At 37.5% G+C, this 23694-nt stretch overlaps 2 protein-coding genes across 9 annotated transcripts in view, besides 2 other annotated features; one reads left to right on the top strand and one right to left on the bottom strand.

Annotated features, from left to right (window-relative positions):
- PRMT9 (protein arginine methyltransferase 9) overlaps nucleotides 1-3168 on the top strand; it is a 46379-nt gene extending 43211 nt beyond the window's left edge. For all 7 annotated transcript variants that reach the window (NM_001350143.2, NM_001350144.2, NM_001350141.2 and 4 more), the window contains 2 exons: nucleotides 1871-1993; nucleotides 2206-3168. In NM_001350143.2, the coding sequence (NP_001337072.1) occupies nucleotides 1871-1993; nucleotides 2206-2421 (339 nt within the window). In that variant the 3' untranslated portion in view covers nucleotides 2422-3168. The remainder of the gene's footprint in view (nucleotides 1-1870; nucleotides 1994-2205) is intronic.
- TMEM184C (transmembrane protein 184C) lies at nucleotides 4232-23556 on the bottom strand. 2 transcript variants are annotated; one of them, NM_018241.3, is made up of 10 exons: nucleotides 22874-23556; nucleotides 16989-17119; nucleotides 16855-16891; nucleotides 15944-16149; nucleotides 12518-12592; nucleotides 11261-11354; nucleotides 9448-9560; nucleotides 7951-8050; nucleotides 7017-7188; nucleotides 4232-6784 (listed from the first exon to the last, which is right to left on the bottom strand). In NM_018241.3, exons 1-10 carry the CDS (start codon nucleotides 22994-22996, stop codon nucleotides 6519-6521), a joined length of 1317 nt encoding a protein of 438 aa, NP_060711.2. In that variant the 5' UTR covers nucleotides 22997-23556; the 3' UTR covers nucleotides 4232-6518. The 2 variants fall into 2 exon arrangements, with proteins under 2 accessions (NP_060711.2, XP_047271914.1); XM_047415958.1 differs by lacking the exons at nucleotides 4232-6784; nucleotides 7017-7188 and having other exon boundaries at nucleotides 8005-8080.
- Nucleotides 23137-23186: an enhancer, noted in NCBI's record as "active region_22002". NCBI's record gives its function as "activates an Ori minimal core promoter by ATAC-STARR-seq in GM12878 lymphoblastoid cells {active_cell/tissue: GM12878}" and the evidence as "EXISTENCE:reporter gene assay evidence [ECO:0000049][PMID:35858748]".
- Nucleotides 23217-23336: an enhancer, noted in NCBI's record as "active region_22001". NCBI's record gives its function as "activates an Ori minimal core promoter by ATAC-STARR-seq in GM12878 lymphoblastoid cells {active_cell/tissue: GM12878}" and the evidence as "EXISTENCE:reporter gene assay evidence [ECO:0000049][PMID:35858748]".
- Nucleotides 23557-23694: the final 138 nt, after the last annotated feature.

The following is a 23694-nucleotide window of genomic DNA, read 5'->3' as shown; positions in this document are numbered from 1 at the left end:
TTGCTTGGGCCCAGGAGTTCAAGACCAGCCTGGGCAACAAAGTGAGACTGTCTCTCTACAAAAATTAGCTAGGCATGGTGGTGTGCCCCTCTAGTCCCAGCTACTCGGGAGGCTGCGGTGGGAGGACGGCTTGAGCTCAAGAGGCTGAGGCTGCTGTGAGCCAAGGTTGTGCCACTGCACTGCAGTCTGGGCAACAGCAAGACTGACCCTGTCTCTAAAAATAAATAAAGGTAGAATTTTTGATAAGTTGGATGTGGGCTATGAAAGAGGACTCCTTTTTTTTTTAGGTGAAAGCAGCTGGAAGAATAGTTTCCATACTGATAATGGGGAAAATAGGATCAGGCTTTGTGTGTAGCTGTGGTCACTGAGCAATTGGGTAAGAATTCAGAGAAAGCTCTGGGCTGAAGATTTAAATTTGGCAGTTAGCAGCATGTAGCTGGTATTTAAGGCCATAAGACTGGATGAAATAGCTTGGGGGCATGTAGATAGAGAGGGCTGGGAACTGAACTCTAGAGAACTCATAAAGTTATGAGCTTGGTTTGGTTGGTTATATAGAAGGAACTGGCAAAGATGACAGGAGGGCCGGGCATGGTGGCTCATGCCTATAATCCTAGCCCTTTGGGAGGCCAAGGAGGGCAGATTGTTTGAGTCCAGGAGTTCGAGACCAACCTGGACAACATGGCAAAAACCCATCTCTACAAAAAATACAAATATTAGCCAAGTGTGGTGGTGGGCACCTGTAGTCCTAGCTACTTGGGAGGCTGAGGTGGGAGGATCACTTGAGCCCAGGAAGCGGAGGTTGCAGTGAGCTGTGATTGTACTACTGCACTCCAGCCTGGGGAACAGAGTGAGACCCTATATTAAAAAAAAAAAAAAAAAAAAAAAAAAAAAGACAGGAGTGGACCAGTTAGTGTGAGAAATAAAAGTGGGGGCCGACTATGAGGTATGGGTTCAGCAGTGTGGGGATTAGGAGGCAGGTGATAAGAGGTGACATGAGAATCTAAGGCTTCTTCTGGTTTGATGTAAAAATAGGAACAAAAGGCATAACAAGGAGTCTTAGAAATGGTGTGGGGTTACTGTTGAGTTTTTATGGGGAATAAAGGCTGGATGCTTTCAAGGATGCCCAGGGAGAGGTGAATGTATCTGTGTCCTGTTTCGCCTTATACAAGGAAAAGTGGTTTTTAAATGACAGTTTCCTTTGTTTCAAATGAGGATGAGGCTAAAAATCATTAGTATTAATAGTAGCATTCAGTTGCTACTAAACTTGATAGAACACTTAATAGTGATTCACAACTTTGTACATTGGAAACATCTGGGGATCCTAATGCCAGATGGTTTGGGGTGTGGCCTGAACAGCTGGGCTTTTAAAAACCTCCCCAGGTGATTTTAATTTGCAGCCAAGATTGAGAGCCACTGCCTTCTGGAAATAAACTTATTTTCCAAATGAAATCAACTATTGTTTGATTGAATCTGGCATCATTTCTGAGACAATTCAATTAGTGTTGTACCATTATTTCATAAGCAAATCCTTGGGTTAAAAATTTTAGAGCTGTTTGGCTTAAGAAAAAATTTAATCTGCTCTCATCCAAATGAAAGATCTACAGGTAATGGAAACCAGAGCAAATTATCTAACCTGCCTAAACCTTGGTTTGTTCATTCTTTTTGTACTGGAACAATGAAAGTTCTAATGAAAGCCAGCCTTAGCTTGATGTGGGAATATAAAGGAGGTAATGTAAAAAGCATTCTGTCAAGTACTATTGAGTCAAGTACAAAGCAATCCCTGACCACAAAAGGAATGTGTAAAAGTGAAAAACTTGAGCCCTGACCACAAAAAGAAAAAGTGAAAGTGAAAAATTTATACTTTCTCTAGGTACCTATACGTGTATTTTTGGACCTATCCTCATTGCCCTGTATACCTTTAAGCAAGCCAGTGGAACTCTTAAGACTAGATTTAATGACTCCGTATTTGAACACCTCTAACAGAGAAGTAAAGGTAAGGACAACATGCAAAATGATTTCGTTTGTTATTGTTTAGAATAATTATCTTAAATTAGGTAATACTTTTATACATACTTTTAGCTACTTTAAAGATTTAAATCTAGTGAAATGTATTTTAAATTTTTGTATTTAAAAGTAACTAAAAAGAGACTTATCTAAGTCTACTCTATGCACTCTGATATTTTCCTAATTTCTTTATTTTCATAGGTATACGTTTGTAAATCTGGAAGACTGACTGCTATTCCATTTTGGTATCATATGTACCTTGATGAAGAGATTAGGTTGGATACTTCAAGTGAAGCCTCCCACTGGAAACAAGCTGCAGTTGTTTTAGATAATCCCATCCAGGTTGAAATGGGAGAGGAACTTGTACTCAGCATTCAGCATCACAAAAGCAATGTCAGCATCACAGTAAAGCAATGAAGAGCAGTTTTCCAATGAAAACTGTGTAAATAGAGCATCAACAAGTACAAAATTCTTGTCTTAATTAGTGGGGGTATATAAAAATTCCTTGTAATGGTCAAATATTTTTTAAAATTGACATTAATAAAGCATATTTTAAAAGATTCTAAATAAAAGGGTAGCATTATTATAGAAATACTGCTGCAGATTTGCTTTCTGGAAAAGGATACATCACTAGTTTTTTAAATTAGGAAACTTCTTTTGCTCGATTTTACAGAATAGGGATTTTAAAAGTCTTATCGTTATTGACATGTGTAAGTAAAGCAAAACTTTACTTTTGTAGGCATCTTGGCCTTTTTTCTTAAATCCAAACTTGTAATTGGGAAACACTGAAAGGCTTCCACTGAAGACTGAGGGTTATGGTTACCTGTAAATTCCAATCTTGCTTCCTTTAAATACTCAGTGTACATCTGAAACATCTCAGGTTTTGTTTTGAGAATGCAAGCTTGAAAAAGAATTTAAGCTATAAGCTAAATGTAATTAAAACAGTAAAGGAGTTAGGGAATACATCTTCAGGAGGCAGCATTTTTCTTGGTCTACTTTGGCAAAAGAACATTTAAAAGCTGGTAACAAAACAAAGTTAAATTGAAGGAAGACTTAATCCTATACTATTTTTCAAAGTTTTGATTTGGATGTACAATAAGTACATTAATTGATCCAATTTTTACAAACTTTTGAAATAAAGGAAGATCATTATTATGCCTCCTATACACTGCGTGCTCTTTGTAAGTCACAAATAAGACGGATCTTTGCTCCAGACTACCCGTTCTTGTTACCTCTATTATTATACTACCCAGCTTTATTTTTAAAATAAATTTTATTGCATACATTTAAGGTATACAATGTGAAGCAAATTAACATATCCATCATCTCAGTTACCCACATATTTTTTGTTTTTTGACAACAGCAGCTGACATCTACTCATTTACCATGAATCCCAAATACAGTACAAATTTGTTACCTAAAATCCTCATGTTGTACAATAGATCTCTAGACTTATTCATCCTACATATCTGCTACCTTGAATCCTTTGACCTACATTCCCCATTTCTCCCTATCCCCCTATAACCAGTTTTGCTCTTTATATATTTAAATTTTTTTTTTAGATTCCACATATATGTGAAATTATGCAGTATCTTTTTTTCTGTCTGGCTTATTTCATTTAGCACAGTGTCCTTCAGGCCCATCCATGTTGTAGCAAATGGCAAGATATCGTTGGTTTTTTTTTTTTAGGGATGAATAATATTCCATTGTGTGTAGGCATATATATACACAGTTTCTTTATTCATCTGTCAACGGACACTTCAGTTGTCTCCATGTTGGCTACTATGAATAATGCTGCAATGAACACGGACTGCAGATATATTTACAAGGTGGTGATTTCATTTACTTTGAGTATATGCCCAGAAGAGGGATTGCTGGATCGTATGGTAGTTTTATTTTTCTTTAGAAACTTCCATTCTGTTTTCCATAATGGCTGTACCAATCTACATTCCCACCAACAGTGCACAGAGTTCCTTTTATTCCACACCATCACAACATTTGTTGTCTTTTGTTTTTTTTGATAACAGCTAGCCTAACTGGTGAGAGGTAGTACTTCGAGTGGTTTTTATATGCATTTCCTTGATGATTAATTATGTTGAGCACCCTTTTATATACCTGTTGGCCATCTGTGTGTCGTCTTCGGAGAAATGTCTTTTCAGGTCTTGCCCATTTTTAAAATTGAGTTGTATGAATTCTTTATAAATTTTGGATACTAACCCTTTTCCATATATATGCCTTACAAATATTTTTTACTCAATCTGTAGGCTACTGTTTCATTTTGTTGACTGTTTCTTTTACTGTCAGAAGCTTTTTGGTTTGATGTAGTCACATTTGTTTTTGTTTTTGTTGACTGAGCTTTTGGTGTGATATCCAAAAAATCATTGCCAAGGGTCAGTGTCCAGGAACTTTTCTCCTATGTTCTCTTCTATAGTTTCTGGTCTTACATTTAGGTCTTTTATCCATTTTGAATTGATTGTTGTGTAGGTCTAAGATAAGGGTCTGATTTCATTGTTTTGCATGTGGAAGTGCAGTTTTCCCAGCATCTTCATTAAGAACACTTAATGAAGACTGTTCTTTCCCCGATGTGTCTTCTTGGTGTCTTTGTCAAAAATTAGTTGACTGTGTATGTTTGGATTTATATCTGGACTCTTTCTTCTGTCCCACTGGCCTGTGTATGTGTTTTTATACCAGTACCATACTGTCTTGATTACTATAGTTTTGTAGTATAATTTATAATTAGGAAATGTGATGTCTCCAACATTTTTTCCTCAGTATTCTTTTGCCTATTCAGGGTCTTTTATCGTTACATATGAATTTTAGGATTTTTTTCTGTTTGTGTAAATAATGCCATTGGAATTTTGATAGGATTGCATTGATTCTGAATTGCTTTGGGTAGTGTGACCATTTTAACAGTATTATTCTGATCCATGAGCACGGGATACCTTTCCATTTATTTGTGTCTTTCTTTCATCAGTGTTTCATAGTTTTCAGTGTACATACAGATCTTTTACTGCCTTGGTGTTAAATTTATTCCTAAGTAAGTATTTTTTTTATGCTATCATAAATGGCATCTTAATTTTTCAGTTAGGTCATTATTTTCATTATTTATGTATAAAAATGCTAATGCTTTTTGTATGTTGATTTTGTATTCTGCAACTTTACTGAATTCACTTGAGTTCTAACAAACAGATTTTTTTTGTGTGTGTATCTTTGGGGTTTTTACATAGAGCCCAGTTTTAGTTTTAATAGAAATGTTTATAATAGTGGATGGAATAAAGACTTTGTATGATTACTGTGAACCACTATCTCTCTCTATATATATAGATAGATATGAATGAGTATGTGTATAAATACATAAAGCAAAGGCTTTGAGAAACAATACTCATCTTTGCTTTCTGTAACATACTATGGCACTTTCTGTTTTATTTTCATTATAAAATGTCAAACATGACCCAGTGGGGTTGTGATTAGCAATTAGAGAAACCCCATCCTAGGTAATAAAAAGTTTTCCCAAATAGCACCTATATGTCTTTCTGACTGTGGTTTAATGAGTAATTAAGACCATTCAGCCAAGATTTACATTTGCTGCCACCTTTAATAGCACTGATGAAAAGTAGAACTTTTTTTTTTGACTTCTTTTTCACTGTGCCTCTAATCAAGAAATTTTTGTTAAAATATTAAGGGTTTTTAATGTTTAAAGAATGAGACATAAAAAAGTTGCAGAAAATAAATGATAAATTCTTATTTATTGAAAGACATTCAGTTGAGGAATAGGGATATAACTGTTTGTTAGGTAAGCTTATATGGCACATGATTAAGTTCCACTAATTCGTATTTCTGCATTATGCTTTCTGATAATTCCGGAGCATTATACTCATGCAGCAGTGGTAGGAAGTACTGATGTTTTTTTAAAAAATGTCCATTCTTGGCCAGGCGCAGTGGCTCACGCCTGTAATTCCAGCACTTTGGGAGGCCGAGGTCGGCGGATCACGAGGTCAGATCAAGACCATCCTGGCTAACATGGTGAGACCCTGTCTCTACTGAAAAAAAAAAAATTAGCTGGGCATGGTGGCAGGTGCCTGTAGTCCCAGCTACTTGGGAGGCTGAGGCAGGAGAATGGCATGAACTTGGGAGGCAGAGCTTGCAGTGACCCGAGATTGCGCCACTGCACTCCAGCCTGGGTGACAGAGCAAGACTCTGTCTGTCTCAAAAAAAAAAAAGTCCATCCTCTTGATAAAGCAGTGTAACATCAGGAAGATTTAGTTGGGGTCATTGTCTACCATTTGAGTATGCGATACCCTAATGTTAAGAAATCAAGTCTAAGTCTAGGAAATTTAGACCAATTATTTTTGATATACAAAACTTACATATATAAATGCAGTAGTTGTACCTGGCTTTCAGCTATTTTTGTGTTGACATTTTCCATCATTTATGGTCTGTCCCAAGCACAAAATCCATGGGATACCAGGTAATGATATAATGTAGTAGTTGCACAGTTTGCTTTTCCATACTGTTCAGGAATCCACGGATTTATCTGAAGGTTCTTTTTTCTCTCCTATAGTATCACTAAGGATTTCATCAGATATCTTAGCTGTGGTAGGTGTAGTCTGGGGAGTCACAGTGTGTCCAAACCCTTGGTAGTGACCCATGGGTGAAGGTGGCATAGAAGAAGCAATGGAAATTGCATCTTGTGATGATGATGATAATAAACTTGTATGTTCATTTTGATCTTGATCCTCGGGAAACAATTTTTTCCTGGGATGTCCCCTGACTGTCCGTCCTTTAATATAAAGTTTTCTGTTAGTCAAAAGTTATTTTTACCATTATAAACTTACCATTCTAAAAATAAGCTCCCCACTTCCCCCTCTCCCACTCCCCAAAGTTGATGAGCCTGCACTGTGGTACTGCTTTAAAGTCTTTTTTCATCTCTAAATAGATAATAAATTGCCCTAGTAGGAGAAATTCAATATCCTACCCAACCTATTTGGTTGAATTAAATAGCTGGTACTTACCAACATGCCTTACTTGTTCAGAAATATCATCTCTAATATCTGAGACATCCCACATGGCAAGAAAGGAATCAAAGCATGAGCCCTCTTCTGCTTCTTGGACATATGGTTTATATGAGAATGTGTAATGATGAGCAATGGCAGCGAGGAACATCTCAATACAGATAATAAAATCCTATGAGAACAACAATAAGATAACAGCCACCTTTGGATTTAAATCTAGGTTTGTAGAGTGCTATCTTTCTCTACTTGCTTTTCAAAAGTGCTAAGATAAACAGCTGTGTTTTTTCTTCTCAGATTATATTCATTTTTCCATTTTCTAAAATAATTATTTTTGACCCCTTCAAAAAAAGACAAAATGCCAAAATGTGAATCTATTTTGCACTTCCTCAAGTAGCAGCCTTGAACTCCTGCATTCAAGCAATCCTCCCACTTCAGCCTCCCAAGTAACTAGGAGTATAGGCATGTGCTGTCATGCCTGGCTAAGTATTTTATTTTTTAGTTTTTTGTAGAGATGAGGTCTCTCTTTGTTGCCCAGGCTGATCTCGAATGCCTGGTCCAGTGATCCCCCAACGTTGGCCTTACAAAGTGCTAGGATTACAGGCGTGAGTCACTGCACCAGGCCAGCCTCAAGTATTTCTTAGCAAAGTACATTTCATTCTCAATCACATCAAGTATATTGCATTCCACCACCCAAGGACTACAAGGAGAAATGTGGAAAGAGAATTGGACTTAGGAATAATGAAATCCAGGTTTTATTCATGGATCTGCTACAAATTAGTAATTATGGCCAATTTCTCTAGGGTTCCCCTGTTTTCTCACCTGTAAAGTGAGGATAATAGCCCCATACCCTGTGTGTTGTCAGGTTTAGTGGAGATATGTAAAAATGCTTAACAAATAGTAAAGTTCTATTGAATTCAGAGATGGCACTACTTACCTGGAGTCCGGTGGCCACAGCTTCTACAGTTTGCCATTCCCACGTATGCTTTTCAGAAATAACGCCAACTTTTACCAACAAAGCAATAACTACTGCTTGCCTATATGTTAGGAAAAGGTAAACGCCAAATCTATATCAAGCATAAAATGAGCAGTAGTTTTAAAAATGTGCCATTAAAAAAAAATCCAGTGCAACCTGTGTACCACCACCACCCTGCCTTTACAGCATATTGCTGAAGAAACTCTATGTTAAATATATTAATTTGCTTTACAAATTCATTTTTCTAGTAGTTTTGTCTCAAGATAGGGAGTCAAGCTGAGCATTTCAAGCAAATCTAGAGATAATGGCCCCAGGTAAAATTTAAACAGCAAATAATGACATGGACATGCTTTCATAGTTGTATACATAAGAATATTCACTTCAGTGTTTCTTATAATGGTAAAAAAATTAGGAACAACCTGAATATCAAAAGGAGATTAGTAAAAAGTTATATCCACATAACAGAATACTAAGCAAAATAAAAATAAAAATAAAAATCACCCCCTCCACAAAACAAAATAATATTTCTGTTTACTGACAAAGAACTGTATCTACAATATACTACTGAACATTGTCGAATTCCAAAAATTTTTATAGTATGAAACTTTCTCTGGAGTTTTATATGTGACACAGGTTTACCAAGATGTTAATCATTCTTTTCTGGGTGGTGGGATTTCAGGGATTTTTCTTTTTCCCTTTTTGTATTGTTTCTAGCTTGTTAAATTTGGTGTATTTGTTTCTAGGACCCCTATTACCCACCTCTTTACTAAATTCTTTTTTTTTTTTTTTTTGAGACAGAGTTTCACTCTGGTGCCCAGGCTGGAGTGCAGTGGCATGATTTTGGCTCACCGCAACCTCTGCCTTCTGGGTTCAGGTAATTCTCCTGCCTTCCCTGCCAAGTAGCTTGGATTACAGGTGCCTGCTACCATGCCTGGCTGATTTTTGTATTTTTAGTAGAGACTAGCCATGTTGGCCAGGCTAGTCTGGAACTCCCAACCTCAGGTGATCCACCTGTCTTGGCCTCCCAAAGTGCTGGGATTACAGGCGTGAGCCACTGTGCCCGGCCCTCTTTACTATATTGAACTATGTATAGTTTTACCTTCTGTTTTAAAAAGATTTACTGATTATTTTCCCATATAATTAAATATTCTACATCATGCTTTCTTCCAAACTCCATAGTATTCTATTATATGACAGGGCCATGATTTATTTTAATAATTATTCTAGTATTGACATATTTAGGTTGTCTCAAACTATTTTCTTCATATAAATGTTACAGCGACCATCTAATTATTTCTTTTGAAAATTGTAGAAGGGCTAAAAAGATGAACTTTTAAAAAGAGAAGTAGAGACATTTTAATCTATCTTCCGCATTAAGACTGTTTAAAAATCCTCCTTAATCAACGGTTTTTACTGCCCTTAAAAAAATGAGAACATTTAAAAAAAAGTAACACTTACCAAAAAGAAACAAAAACCACCAGCTTTACACAAAGAAATTTGCCAACAGGTTGGATTGGGCTCAGTTCTTCTTTTAGTACTTTATAAAAGAGCAGGAGACAATACATGGCAAACTAGAAACAAGATTAACATTTAAACTTGTTCAGTAATAGATATGGTAATAGAAATATTAAAGTTACATACCAGAGACCTGGTACAGAGTAATGTTTCAGGCAAACTTTTCTAGGCTTTATTATTCTATTTTTAGATTAACAAGCTTTCATAGTTTACTATAGATGAATATATACTACATACAACATCTTCCGTAAAAATGTTTTTAAGTGTTCACTTCCTGGGTTCCATAAAGGGAACAATAAACAAATGATTGACATAAATGGAAGAAATGGCTCTTGTTCAGCCAAAATAAAAAAATCCATCTGTAACGGCTTTTAAACATAAATTTCTGACCACTCATTTTATGAGGCTTTAGCTTATTACCTAGTCTATCCTATGTAACTAAAGTAACCCATTAAACAAGTACAATTTCAATAAAATTGTGACTATGAAATCTGAATGTAAAGAATCAAACAATTTTTCCTGAGAGCGGTGTATTAGTTCAGCTAGATTTATTTTTTAAAATGAACAAGACTTACTAACTTTTTAGAAATCTGTAATAACCTAGTGTAGTGCTGAATAACAATAAACATTTTCCTGAAAGTTCACTATTCCCTATTAAAATCATATAAAATGCAAATTCAAAGTATTTTAGAATATGAAACCAGTAAAGAAAGAAAGAATAAAGTGATTCATGGTGTCCAATCATCCTTTTTACACATAAGCCAGTTTTTAAATAACTGTCATGAACTAATTATAAAATTTTATTGCCTAATGTTTTTTCCACTTAAAATACATAACTTCTATATGTTTCATCAGGCTTATTTTTAGTAACTGCCTAATATTTTGGCCAATGGAAAGACCACAGTGCATTCAACTAGTCCCTAACATTGGGTTTTGGATTGCTTTCAGCCTTTTGTTATTTACAAGTAATGGGCTTTATATACAAAGATACTTTAGGCAAACATACTTTTGAACACTTCTTTAGAATACATTCCCAGAAACAGAATTACTGGTTCCAAAGAGGATGAACATGTGGGAAAACTTTAGCTACATGGACATTTAATTTTTATTATAAAGCTCTAATACCAACCATGCATACCACTGCATCTAAATTATTTTGCTGACAGCATTAGTCAAAGAATTTAAATAAAATGCACATTTTTTTAAGCTTGTAAGATCAAATAGGACATTACATCATAGGTCTTTGGAACATACAGTTTCTAGAACATCATCCATTTTTTTAAACTTGGCATTCTCAATTTTCCTTTAACTTCAAATATATGATAACAGAGAATTTTATTCTCACATTTTTATTCAAACCCTGTACCATCAAATACCAATTTGATATTTTCTCTTCTGAATATGTTCAGTATATGTGGGCGTGTGTGTGTATTTTTTTTTTTATGTAGCACTGTGCTTTTATTTATGACATACTCATACAGCTATGCAATGAGCAACAGAAATAAATGAACAAACATGGTCAACATGTGAGGGTATAAGTTGCCAAATAATAAACAAAGATGTTATTATATCTTTATATATGTATTAAGATATATATTAAATTTTTTTCAAGTCTTTCTATAAATTAAATTTCAGATTTAATTTATAGGAAGATTAAAAAGAAGCAAGCCTTATCCTAAGAAGAAACTTTGTCTAAAGAAATTTAGTTATAGATACGAATTTAGTACAGTTTAAGAAAAGTGAACATTTTACTTACCAACTGTGACATGTTGTTTATTATAACCAAATAAGTCCAAGCATTTGAAAAGCTAAAGTTCCCTTCGTCATATATACCAAGCAGCTCACAGATTCTAAAAATAGTAAAAATGAGATATCTCTGATTAAATCAAAATCGTACTTCAAAATACAGCAATAGCAATACTTAAATTTAGAAGTCAGTTTATTTGAGATCTCACTGACAATCACTTGACTTTGGACACAGAGAATTTAGAAGTCAGTTTATTTGAGAGATCCATTGACAATCACTTGACTTTGGATCTAGAGGTGGTTCAAAAATGAAAAACCCATTTTTTTCTAGAAATATTACTATATTCCTTCAACTTGAAGGAAATCCCAAATAAGACACATAACACTTAACTAGAAAGAGTACTAAATTTAAAAAAAAACAACTATGCTGTCTAATTTTGGGAAAGCTTGATTGTTAAACATAATATAATGCAGGTGTATATAACTGTAGTTGTTAATTTTTTCCCCTCAATTGTCTTGGAGGTAAATTTTATGAAGACCCAGATCCCCTCAAGTAAGTATGACCATCAGTATTGTTATAATCTTACCCAATTTCTAAGCTGCAGGGAAATAAAGCATGCCTTCATAATTAAATGGCTAAATAATTGCTAGCTCAAAGGCAGAATAAAGAATTCTTTCACAAGTCTTTCTTTCCACTTTTCCTCTGTGAGCATGCAAAATGTTAGTAACAACTAGGAGATAAAACATGTAATCTATTGGCATTAAAGTATTTGATGTTCTTGAATTTTTAGGGAATAGTTTTGCCAGGTAGCTTAATGATACCCCATTTTACCTCAATTCTAAGCCTTGATAGAATATATTAAAAGAAAATATGACTTCTTTCTTAGAGTACTTCTAATATATTCTAAATTAACTATGTAGAAAATAGAACTGTAATTAACCTAAAGTAGCATACTTTAACTTCATGCAATAGGGTTTCTGTCAAGCTATGTATCTGAAAAAGAAGGTATTTTTTTTTCAAAGTGCTTTACGGCCAGCTAGCTCTGGAGAGGATGTGAATATTTAGGAGACCCCTGTGGTGACTCTTTGCCTATAAATGGTCATGTTATTTATTTTAATAGAGTGAGTTTCTATACAGTGTTTTTTTTTACAACAGACTAGACCTGCATTATAAATAAGCACATTAACACTATGTTTTCTACTTAGTTGTTCCCACATAAGATCACAAGGATGAAAAAAAAAGTTCATATAAAATCCGAGTACTTACAAAGCAACGATGGTGGTGAAAGGTCTGACAACTGTGTACTGTAATACACCTAGTTTGCACCTAAACAGCAATACTCTGCAAAAGAAAAAGAACTTAGAATTTCAACTACTCATTTAAATAGCATCAGATTTTCCCCAAAGCCTCCAAATTAAAATCACTTTGATGAATGATACCATATTTACAGTTAATTCTTTCAATGTAGTCATCCTTAATAGCAGTGGCAGAAGAATGTGGATGGCAGGAAACAAATTATCTAAATACCTTTTTTATTTTTTGAGATATAGGATCTTATTCTGTTGCCCAGGGTGGAGTGCAGTGGTGTGAACATGGCTTACTGCAGCCTTGACCTTCTGTGCTCAAGTGATCCTCCCACCTCAGCCTCCTGAGTAGCTGGAACTATATCTGCATACCACCACACCTGGCTAATTTATTTTCTGTAGACATGGGGTCTCACTATGTTGCCCAGGCTACTCTTGACCTCCTGGGCTCAAGTAATCCTCCCACCTCAGCCTCCTGAGTAGCTGGAACTGTATCTGCATACCACCACACCTGGCTAATTTATTTTCTGTAGACATGGGGTCTCACTATGTTGCCCAGGCTACTCTTGACCTCCTGGGCTCAAGTGATCCTCCCACCTCAGCCTCCTGAGTAGCTGGAACTATATCTGCATACCACCACACCTGGCTAATTTATTTTCTATAGACATGGGAGTCTCACTATGTTGCCCAGGCTACTCTTGACCTCCTGGGCTCAAGTGATCCTCCTGAGTAGCTGGGACTGTAGGTGTGTGCCCCCACACCCAGCTATTTTTAAATTTTCTGTAGAGATGTGGTTTCACTGTGTTGCCCAGGCTAGTCTCAAACTCCTGGGCTCAAGCCATCCTCACGCCTGTAATCCCAGCACTGTGGGAGGCCGAGGCAGGTGGATCACTTGAGAGCAGCCTGGCCAACATGGCAAAACTCTGTCTCTACAAAAAAAATAACAAAATTTAGCCGGGCACGCCTGTAATCCCAGCTACTTGGGAGGCTGAGGCATGAGAATTGCTTGAATATGGGAGGTGGAGGTTGCAATGAGCTGAGATCACGCCACTGTATTCTAGCCTGGGTGACAGAGCAAGACCATCTCAAAAAAAAAACACAGTAATCTTTGAAAATGAAATTTAGATACCGGTTCTCTGCATAATATCCTATAAATGGTTTCTCATTTGACAAAGACTCTCATTTAGACAAACTTTAGACAAGCCTCTGATGCCTCTTTTCAACTTGGCTTCATCCTTGGGCCTTGTCCTTGTCCTGTGTCAGTCAATCTAAAAGAATCTTGCTAAGTCATTCCCCAGCCCCCTTTGATATCTGATCACCTTTGACATCCGATCAAATTCCTCAGCACCCACCTTGGATGACTAAGGCCTTGGCCTGCCTTTAGCAAGAATTCTGTTCAGTTTAGTGAGAATCCTCCTAGCCCTGATGTCCCCTCTTCGTAATTCTGCATTCGCTGACCCCCTCAACATGCTCTAGCTATAAATGCCCATTTGTCCTTGTTGCCTTCAGAGTTGAGCACAATCTGTCTCCCTTGATAACCAATCTATATTAATTTGTCATTACTATTCTCTCATGGCCTCCTGTCCTTCTTCCTTCATTGCATTTCCTGAAATAACTAACTATATATTTGTGTCTTAATTCCTAACTCTCCTAACCAAACTAAGTTCCATGAGGTCTATGTCTGTTCTGTGCACTAAGGTATTTCTTTATACTAGCACGTACTTGGTGCTCAACATATATTTGTCAAATGAACACATTAGTAGCTTATTTTTTTAAAAAGCCAGGTAGCTCCCTGTCATTTCAAGGGTGTAAATAGAGACAAAATTTGTCAGGACGTTGTACAAATGGTCCTGTACTGCATAGGAGGCAATGCACCCATTCTTATGTTGTATGTCTACACTGATCACTCTACCTCCATTTACCTTGGCTTGTAACTTCCACCTTATTCCTCATTTATTAGTGAAACTGCCTTTGCAAAATTATGACTGAGACAGTGAAAGAGATAACTTAAACCGACTCCATCTTGTGTCTAACCTCCAAGCTGTCCTTGTTCATTCCTGGGCGTAGGCTGAACTAACTTTGAGAGAAACTTAGTTTATAGTTTCTCCCAAAGCTATAGAAATAGCCCTGCCCCAAAGCAAACCTCCTTGCCTGGGGACTAGATTGCCTTTGTAGGACTAACATTAGCCATAAGATTAGAAATTATGGTTTAGGAGTCATGCAGCTGGAGGCTACAAGATTCTGGCCCTCCCTAAACTGCTCCTAAGATCAGTGCTTGTGATATTTTGCAGACCCTGCATTTGTTGAATCAGCTGGCACCACCCAGATCAATAAACGGGCTCATCTCACCTTGTGGCCCCCACCCAGGAACTGACTCAGTATAAGTGGACAGCTTTGACTCCCTATGATTTCACCTCTCTCCAATCAGCACTCATGGCTCACTGGCTTCCCCCTACCCAGCAAATTATCCTTAAAACTCTGCTCCCCGAATGCCTAGGGAGACTGATTTGAGTAATAATAAAACTCCTGTCTCCCGCACAGCTGGCTCTGTCTGAATTACTCTTTATCTTTTGCAATTCCCGTCTTGATGAATCGGTTCTGTCTAGGTGGCTGGCAAAGTGAACCCCTTGGGCGGTTGCATTAGTGGACATGTCCTATTGATTTTTCAGTTGCATTCTCTTATTGCCTTTCTTTTCTATTCCAATCTCATCCCCCTTTTCAGTTTTATTTCACAAATAGATTATTATAAACTCCTAATTTATTTCTCCATCTCTGGAATCTTCTTCCTTCCAATTCATCCTTTATGATATTGCAAAATTAATCTTTCTAAAACACTGTTTCCAAATGTTTGCTTGCTGAAAAATACCAAGTGGTTCATTTCTATAATAAATGCAATTGTAAACTCAATTTATTTTTCAAAATGAAATGACATAAGTTTTAATGTCCTACATGAACATATAATAAGGCAAGCTGATGTATTATGTTACCAAACACTGTTACTTATTGCTCCTACTTCATATCATATGTGGTTCTACAACCTACATTATCTTGTCTATGTCTTTTAACTAGCTGTGTGTTCTTACATAAGATCTGCAGACCTTGGTTCTCAACTGCAAAAGCATATTGATTAAATGATTACTGTTTTTACCTGCAATACTTTAATTTTTGGATTTGGGATTAATAATGTAAAAAAGACTAACATATATGTGGGATTACAAAACTGTTTTGTTAGCCTTCAAACAACTATGAACTGCATCAGGAGCTGTCTTATACTTATTGTTCTGCTATTAATACTTAATGCACTGCCTTGTAAAGAGCTGATTGCTACTTAAAAACTCTGCTTAAATGAAAAACCAAAACATAAAAGAATTAAACCAAACATACTTACTCTCCCATAGCCCATGGTGGACAGCAACATAAAGGAGGGAAATGTTTCTGTTGATCTTTGGCTTCAAGGATTAATACCAGATTTGGATACCGGTTAGTTAGATAATTGGTAAGGAATCCCATAAAGTTGTAAATTACATAAGCTTCATAGCATTCTCTGCAGGTATCCACATATATTGCAATTCCGGGATATTTCAAAGCTATCCACTATGAAAAAGCACAGATGTTAAAGATAGTTGCAGCTAAGATAAAATGAATCACCACTCCATTCATGGTACTCACAATAAGCTAATTTTTATGCTTGAGATGTCTTGTCATATACTTACATGGGACTCTCTAAAATTTATCATTATGAGGGCTATCAATCTGTGAAATGAATGCTTAAAAGCAATAAACATCTTAGATATTGGTAAACAAAAACAAGTGTTTGAGGGGTAAATAATGAATAAAGAGAGAAGCTAAAGTAAGTACTTGTGTTCTTAAATCTGAAGTTTTTCTTAATATGATCATAGATAATGCTGCTAAAGATATTTCCTTTAATATTTACTCATATTAGAAGCAGTCATCTACAACAATTTCATGTGTATCCACTGGGGAAGGTTTTTAAATTTTTGATTCAAATAAAAGACGTAATAAATAAAAAGAGTAGTATATTAATTTAAAATATTACATTCTTTAACAATCTGAAAGTTTAAAAGAAAGCAAACAGCTATAGATTTTTAAACATTTATAATATAACATTTTACATTTTTAATTATACTTTATATTCTCTATCATTAGAAACAAGTGAACCTTTTTACTTATTAATCTGACTCCTTGTCAATAACATACTTTCATTATCTTAAGCATTCTGTAATTATAGTATCATCAAACAAGTCCTTAGTTAATGAGATAAAAATGAAACATACTTACACTATCTAAACTGTAAATAGGTACCATCCAAAGAATCCTATTGGAAAAGGAAAACAGAAATTTAAAACATTTTATGTCATATTTATGAAATAAGCCAACACAACAGTAGTGGAATCAAAATTATTAAGACATACCTTATTATTGGTTTTTGTAGTTCAGGTTGTGTATAATGCACTAAGTGTTGCAATATCACCCACAGTGATATAGGAATAGTCAACAGCAAAAAGATTCCAGCAATAAACCAAGCCTTGGTGTGTATTCCAACCTTAAGAAACAAAATAACATGTTAATATAAATTCTGATATTAAAACAAAAGAGCTTGGCCAGGCTCAGTGCCTTGTGCCTATAATCCTAGCACTTGGGGAGGCCGAGGTGGGAGGATCGCTTGAGGCCAGGAGTTTGAAACCAGCCTGGGCCTACAAAGTGAGAACCCGTCACTACAAAAAAAAAAAATTAAAAAATTGAAAAAAATTTGTGGGGGAGGGGGGACTTTTATATTAACTTGTAATCTTGCCTTGAAGAGTATGAATCTTTTTTTTTTTTTAAGGGGAAAAGGTGGGCATTTATTTTTGATGCTTGAAGGGTTGAGCAGTTTACAATTAAAATAGAACTAAGGTCTACAACCTTAAGTATCACTGTTTCTTTTCTTTTTCTTTTTTTTTTTTTGAGACAGTTTTGCTCTGTTGCCCAGGCTGGAGTACAGCGGCGCGATCTTGGCTCACTGCAACCTCTGCCTCCGGGGTTCAAGCGATTCTCCTGCCTCAGCCTCCCAAATAGCTGGGATTACACACCCAGCTAATTTTTTTGTATTTTTAGTAGAGATGGGGTTTCGCCCTGTTGGCCAGCCTGGTCTGGAACTCCTGACTTCAAGTGATCCGTCCGCCTCCGCCTCCTGAAGTGCTGGGATTACAGGCATGAGCCACCGTGCACGGCCCAGTTTCACTGTTTGAACAGGACTTTTTCTTCCTCTACCAGGGGCCAAAGATAAAAGAGGTAGAAAACAAAAGTATGGAGAACAAATGCATTTTTACAACAACAAATTTCCACATTAAAATGTATAGAAAGCTTGAAAAGGGCTGAGTGAGGTGGCTCATGATTGCTTGAGCCCAGGGGTTCCATCCAGCCCAGCCTGAGCAACATGGCGAGATGCCATCTCTACAAAAAATAAATTAGCGAGGCGTGGAAGCATGTGCCTGTAGTCCTACCTACTAGGAAGACTGAGGTGGGAGATCTGCTTGAGCCCAGGAGTTCAAGGCTACAGTGAGCCATGATTTGTGCCACCGTACTCCACCCTGGGCAACAGAGTGAGACCCTGTCTCAAAAACAAAAACAAACCAAAAGCTAATACAAAGTCTTACTGATTGTGGGGGCGTTAATCAAACAGTAAATGAAAAGCAAATATATGGACGTAAGACTCTAAAAGGAATGTCTGAGCACTCATATTACAGGGCTTTTTGCTTTTATCCATTTCATTTAAAATTGAGTACAGTAGTCCCCACTTATATGTGGGGATTAGGTTCCAAGACCCCCAGTGAATACCTAAAACTATAGATAGTCCCAAATCCTATATGCATATACTATGTTTTTTCCTATACATATATACTTATGATAAAGTTTAATTCATAAATTGGACACACAGTAAGTGGTTAACAAGAAAATAGAACAATTATATATTGTAATAAGTTATTTAAAACTTACAAATTACTTATTTCTGAAATTTTTCATTTAATATTTTCAGACCATGGTGGACAACAGGTTACTGAAACCAAGGGAAGTGAAATTTCAGTGATGATCTAAGAAAATAATAATAGGATAAGCATATTCTAGATCTCCTTTATTATAAAGGATGGTACTGCGGCCAGGCGCGGTGGCTCATGCCTGTAATCCCAACACTTTGTGAGGCTGAGGAGGGCAGATGGTTTGAGTCCAATAGTGTGAGACCAGTGTGGGCAACATGGCAAAACTCCATCTCTACAAAAAATACAAAAAATTAGCCGGGTGCCAGAGGATCACTTGAGCCCAGAAGGTCAAAGCTGCAGTGAGCCATGACCGCGCCACTGCACTCCAGCCTGGGTGACAGAGCGAGACCCTGGCTCAAAAAAAAAAAAAGAAAGAAAAAAAGAAAAAAAAGTATTGCCAAGTAATTGCTTATTTTGATTGCTTTAGTTCCAAAAACTAGAACTTGGTGGTACACTTAAGAGAAAAATGATGTGCTTGTGACTAATGAAGGTCAAGTGTCCTCAGTGTGCTATAAAGAAGAAAGTTGTTTTTGTTTTTTAAACAATCATAAAACAAGTGACTAGAGACTTGGTCACTGCAGGCCAAATTTTAAAATCCTGTACCACATAATATCATTTTTACAGTGCAAGTGGTAATTTAGTTTCAGAAAAACATCATCTCTCCACATTAATGTCATTAATTTTAATTATTGGTTTTACAGTTGTTTTGATTTTTGAGCTATATAAAAGTTACATGCACAAGAAATTTAACCTATTTTATGTGTGTATATATTTAAGTAACATTGTAATAGAATAACTCAACACTAGCTATCTGCAGAAATTATCAATATAATTTTTTAATTTTATGTTTACCTCTAAATAATTTATTCAAATTTGAGACACATTGATGTAGATACCAGTAATATTATTCTTAATCTTTATCAGCCATGAGTTGAGTTTTTGGGCTCACGAAATGAGGAGGAGATAAACAGATTTTTTTTCATGGGTAACTTTAGGAAAGAAGAGAGGAAAGAAAAAACCCTTAAAGACAAGCATCCAAGAATAAGTTAACTCTCCCTCAGCAAAATGCTTCAAAACAGAGAGTGGAGATGAATAGGAGAGAGTGCTTTCTGGGCCAGGTCTTCCTGAGGGGAGAGAGTAGAACTGACCTAAGGGCATGAGGTAAATGTGCTGAGGTTAAAAAAAAAAGTGTGCTGAGGTAAAAAGACTAGAGCAGCATGCACATTCACTTCAGGTATACATGGTCAGCCAAGTGAGTGGGAAAAATAGTTTAAACAGTGCAGATGGTCACCCTACCATTCCAATAAATGGGTATATGCCCCACCATGGGCATGGGATGAGCTTCCAGAACTGTGAGAAAATAAATTTCTGTAGTTTAAGCCACTCAGGCTATGGTATTTTCTCACGGCAGCCTGGGGACACCAAGATAAACTCTCACATTTGTATCTGCAGCTCATATCTTTCTGAGCATTAGATGTGCATATCCAACAGCATATCTGACATGCCTATTGAATGTCTCTTATTAAACTAAATGTCCATAACAGAACTCAATTTCTCTCAAACCTGTTCCTAACCCTCAATTTTCTATCTCAGTAACTAGCACCACCATTTACACAGTTGTTCAAACAAAAAACTTCAGAATCATCTTTGATTTGTTCCTTTCTCTCACTGCTTCTCCTCTGGAATCCAATCTTCCTGCTACGTCTTGTTTGCTCACTTCTAAGGATACTTACAATTCAGTTTTCCATTTCCACTCCTGCTATCCTTACCGGGGCCATAAACCATCATAGCCCAGGCACCCAACACCTCTCACTACCATAAAGAGCTTTCTAACTTCCCTTCACTTCTGCTTTATTTTCCATAGCTGGTAGAGTGGTCTTTTGAAGTTATGCAATTAGACTGCCCTGCATGGTAACTTCTCAGATCTTTTCTGGTTTCCTCCACAGCATTTTATACAATTTTATTGATTTGTTTTTGTTGGTCCCTTTTGTCTCCACCAAGTTCTATGGAGGTAATGTTCTCTCATATAGTATACAAAGCCTGATTCATCACTGGGACTCAGTCATTTGGGCAGAAAGAGGGGGAAAGAAAACAAAGTAAAATATGTATCGTGGTAGATGGTGGTAAGTCCTATGGAAAAAGTAAAGCAGAGAAAGGAATATGAAGAGTTGGGGTGGGGGGAAGTTGACAATGTTAAATAGAGTAGTCAGGTGACATTTGAGTAAAGACCTGAAGAACATAAAGGAATGAGAATAATATCTACGGAAAGGAAATTCTGTGAAGGGGAAACATCGTGCAAAGTTTCAAGGAGGGAGCATGCCTGGGATTTTTGAGCAAAGCCGTGCAGTGGAAGCCTAGGACTTGAGGAGAAAAAGTCAGAGGGGGATCAGGTGGGAGTGGTGTCAGATCATGTTGGACCTTGATGGCCACAGTGAGGAATACTGGCCTTTACTCTAGGACTAGAAGTGATTTAAGATGACACACATAATGTGCCAAGTTTTAACTGGTTACTCTGGCTGGTGTGTTGAGAAGAGTCCAAGCAAGACATGTTGGGAACTTGGCTAGGACAAGTACAGACTACAGATTCCAATTTTTCTTAAAAGCTAGTGGTACCTAAAAACTACATTTGAAACTAACAACTAAGAGAAGTCTTAAACTGGACTGATATTATGCATATTATTAACCTTTAAAGTGGTTCCTATACTATACTCCACGGAAATATTTCAAAGTAAGAAAATCCCATTTGTATTAAGATGCTTATACCTAAGTTTTTGTAGACAAATTGTGGAAAGAACCTAAATATCTAACAAATGGGAAATATTGAATGTAGCAGAATATTACATGGCCATTAAAAATAACTATATGGGCCGGGTGCGGTGGCTCATGCTTGTAATCCCAGCACTTTGGGAAGCCGAGGTGGGTGGATCACAAGGTCAGGAGTTGAGACCAGCCTGGCCAACACCGTGAAACCCCGTCTGTACTAAAAATACAAAAATTAGTTGGGTGTGGTGGTGGGCACCTGTAATCCCAGCTACTTGGGAGGCTGAGGCAGGAGAATCGCTTGAACCTGGGAGGCAGAGGTTGCAGTGAGCCAAGATCGCGCCACTGCACTCCAGCCAGGGCGACAGAGCTAGACTCTTTCTCAAAAATAAATAAATAAAAATAAACAACAACAACAACAAGTAAGTATATGGGGCTGGGTGCGGTGGCTCACACCTGTAATCCCAGCACTCTGGGAGGCCGAGGACAGATCACCTGAGGTCAGGAGTTTGAGACCAGCCCGACCAACATGGAGAAACCCCGTCGCTACTAAAAATACAAAATTAGCCGGGCGTGATGGCGCATGCCTGTAATCTCAGCTACTCGGGAGGCTGAGGCAGGAGAATCGCTTGAACCCAGGAGGCGGAGGTTGCGGTGAGCCGAGATCTCGCCATTGCACTCCAGCCTGGGCAACAGGAGCAAAACTCCGTCTCATAAACAAACAAACAAAAAACTATATGGACTATGCTAGTATGGGAAAGTCATCAGAAAATAATTTAGTGTAAATAGAGAACACAAATGTATATTAAATACAGTTTATGTAAAAATCATTTCCACAATAAAGAAGGGCCTAAAATAGTCATGGTCTTATTATAGTTCTTGTAATAGGTGTTCCTCTGTAAAAGTACTTGGTGGGTTTTATTAACTCCGAATTTAAAGTTCATTATATAATATTTATATCTGAGTTATTTACCTTGGGGTTTTCCAGCTTGTAGTACATTACTGATGTCACAATAAGCATATGACATCAAAAAATATATATAAGGGACTTTTTGCAAAACCTTTGTTGGGTAAGAGCTAATTTCCACAGTAAAAACAGACACCAAAGTTAAAACAACTAGAACGCTTTGATTCAAGAAGCTAGTTAAAAGCTAATAAAATTCAATACATGGTTTTCAAGGTAGTTTATTTGACCTAGTTTCGTCCAATGTCTGAACAGATCAGATTTCAGCAATAAAATTACCTTACTTTCAGGGAACTGATGAATACTTGCAAAACAGTGCCCTTCTAAGCAGCTATATTAATATATTCTATTTTCTCGACCCGGTCCCACCTCCACCTGTAGCATGACTTGAAGAACCGTGAACAAGAAATTAGACAGGTTTATATCCTAAGAGTAGGCTCGTTTACATTAGATGGTTTTCAGGACTGTCAGGGCAGAAATGGGGTAAGGGTGTCTCTTTCCCAACCATAGATGGGTAGAAGAAAGTGTACAGGCTGATGGTGCAGAACCCTCTTACCTCCAGTTTCTGTAATTCCCACACGCATAGGGGAACCGCAACCACTATTGACACCAGGTAGATGACCGCTACTAAAGGTCGAATCCACTGTCTCCAGTTCCTCCAGGTACAAGTGCAAGGCATGTTTTCGCACAAATCAGATCCGGTTAGCAAGGGAAAAGATCTCGAAAAGATTGTAATGGGGAGCCCTGTTCTCTGGCTGTTTTGTCAACTCGCATACTACGGAGAAAAAGCTGTCGGGCGACTTTACGAACAGCTCGAGCCGCCTCCTGGACCGGCGCTGTGTCTTCTGCTGCTGCTGCTTCTGCAAATGTAGCCTCTCAGGGTGCTATTGGCGAGCAGTGCAGGCAACATCCTTTCTTCTCCACCCCGCATCTACCCGGTTGTACTGCGGTGGAATCCCAGGCAGAGCCGCTGCCCTCACCTGGGGATCGCCCTGAGCTCTGCCTGTACCATGGCTTCCAGGAGAGCAGCACAGACCAGGAACCGGCCTCTAGGGACCCTGCACACTCCGGTTCTGTCTCGCAGCTGCCTGCCCACTCGCTCTTTTCTTTGGGGATCGAGCTTCCTACCTCCCGCACTGGCAGGCGTCTCTTCAGTCGATTCCGCTAGTAGGTAAGGCCCCAGGATCTCCTCATTCTTTCGCACGGGACCTCCCCTACAGCGGAACCCAAGGCCAAACCAAGACTTTCAGCTCTTTTCCGCTTCCGCCCCTGCTGTCTGAGGCAGGTGATTCGTCGTCAGCGCCAAACTGGGCCCGCCCCATCCGACTCACTTTGCGCCCTCTGATTGGTCAGCTGTGGGGGCGGGGCTGCAGGATT

Source organism: Homo sapiens, chromosome 4 (assembly GCF_000001405.40).
Source record: "Homo sapiens chromosome 4, GRCh38.p14 Primary Assembly".
NCBI lineage: Eukaryota > Metazoa > Chordata > Mammalia > Primates > Hominidae > Homo > Homo sapiens.
This window is presented reverse-complemented; position numbering and strand designations above follow the sequence as displayed.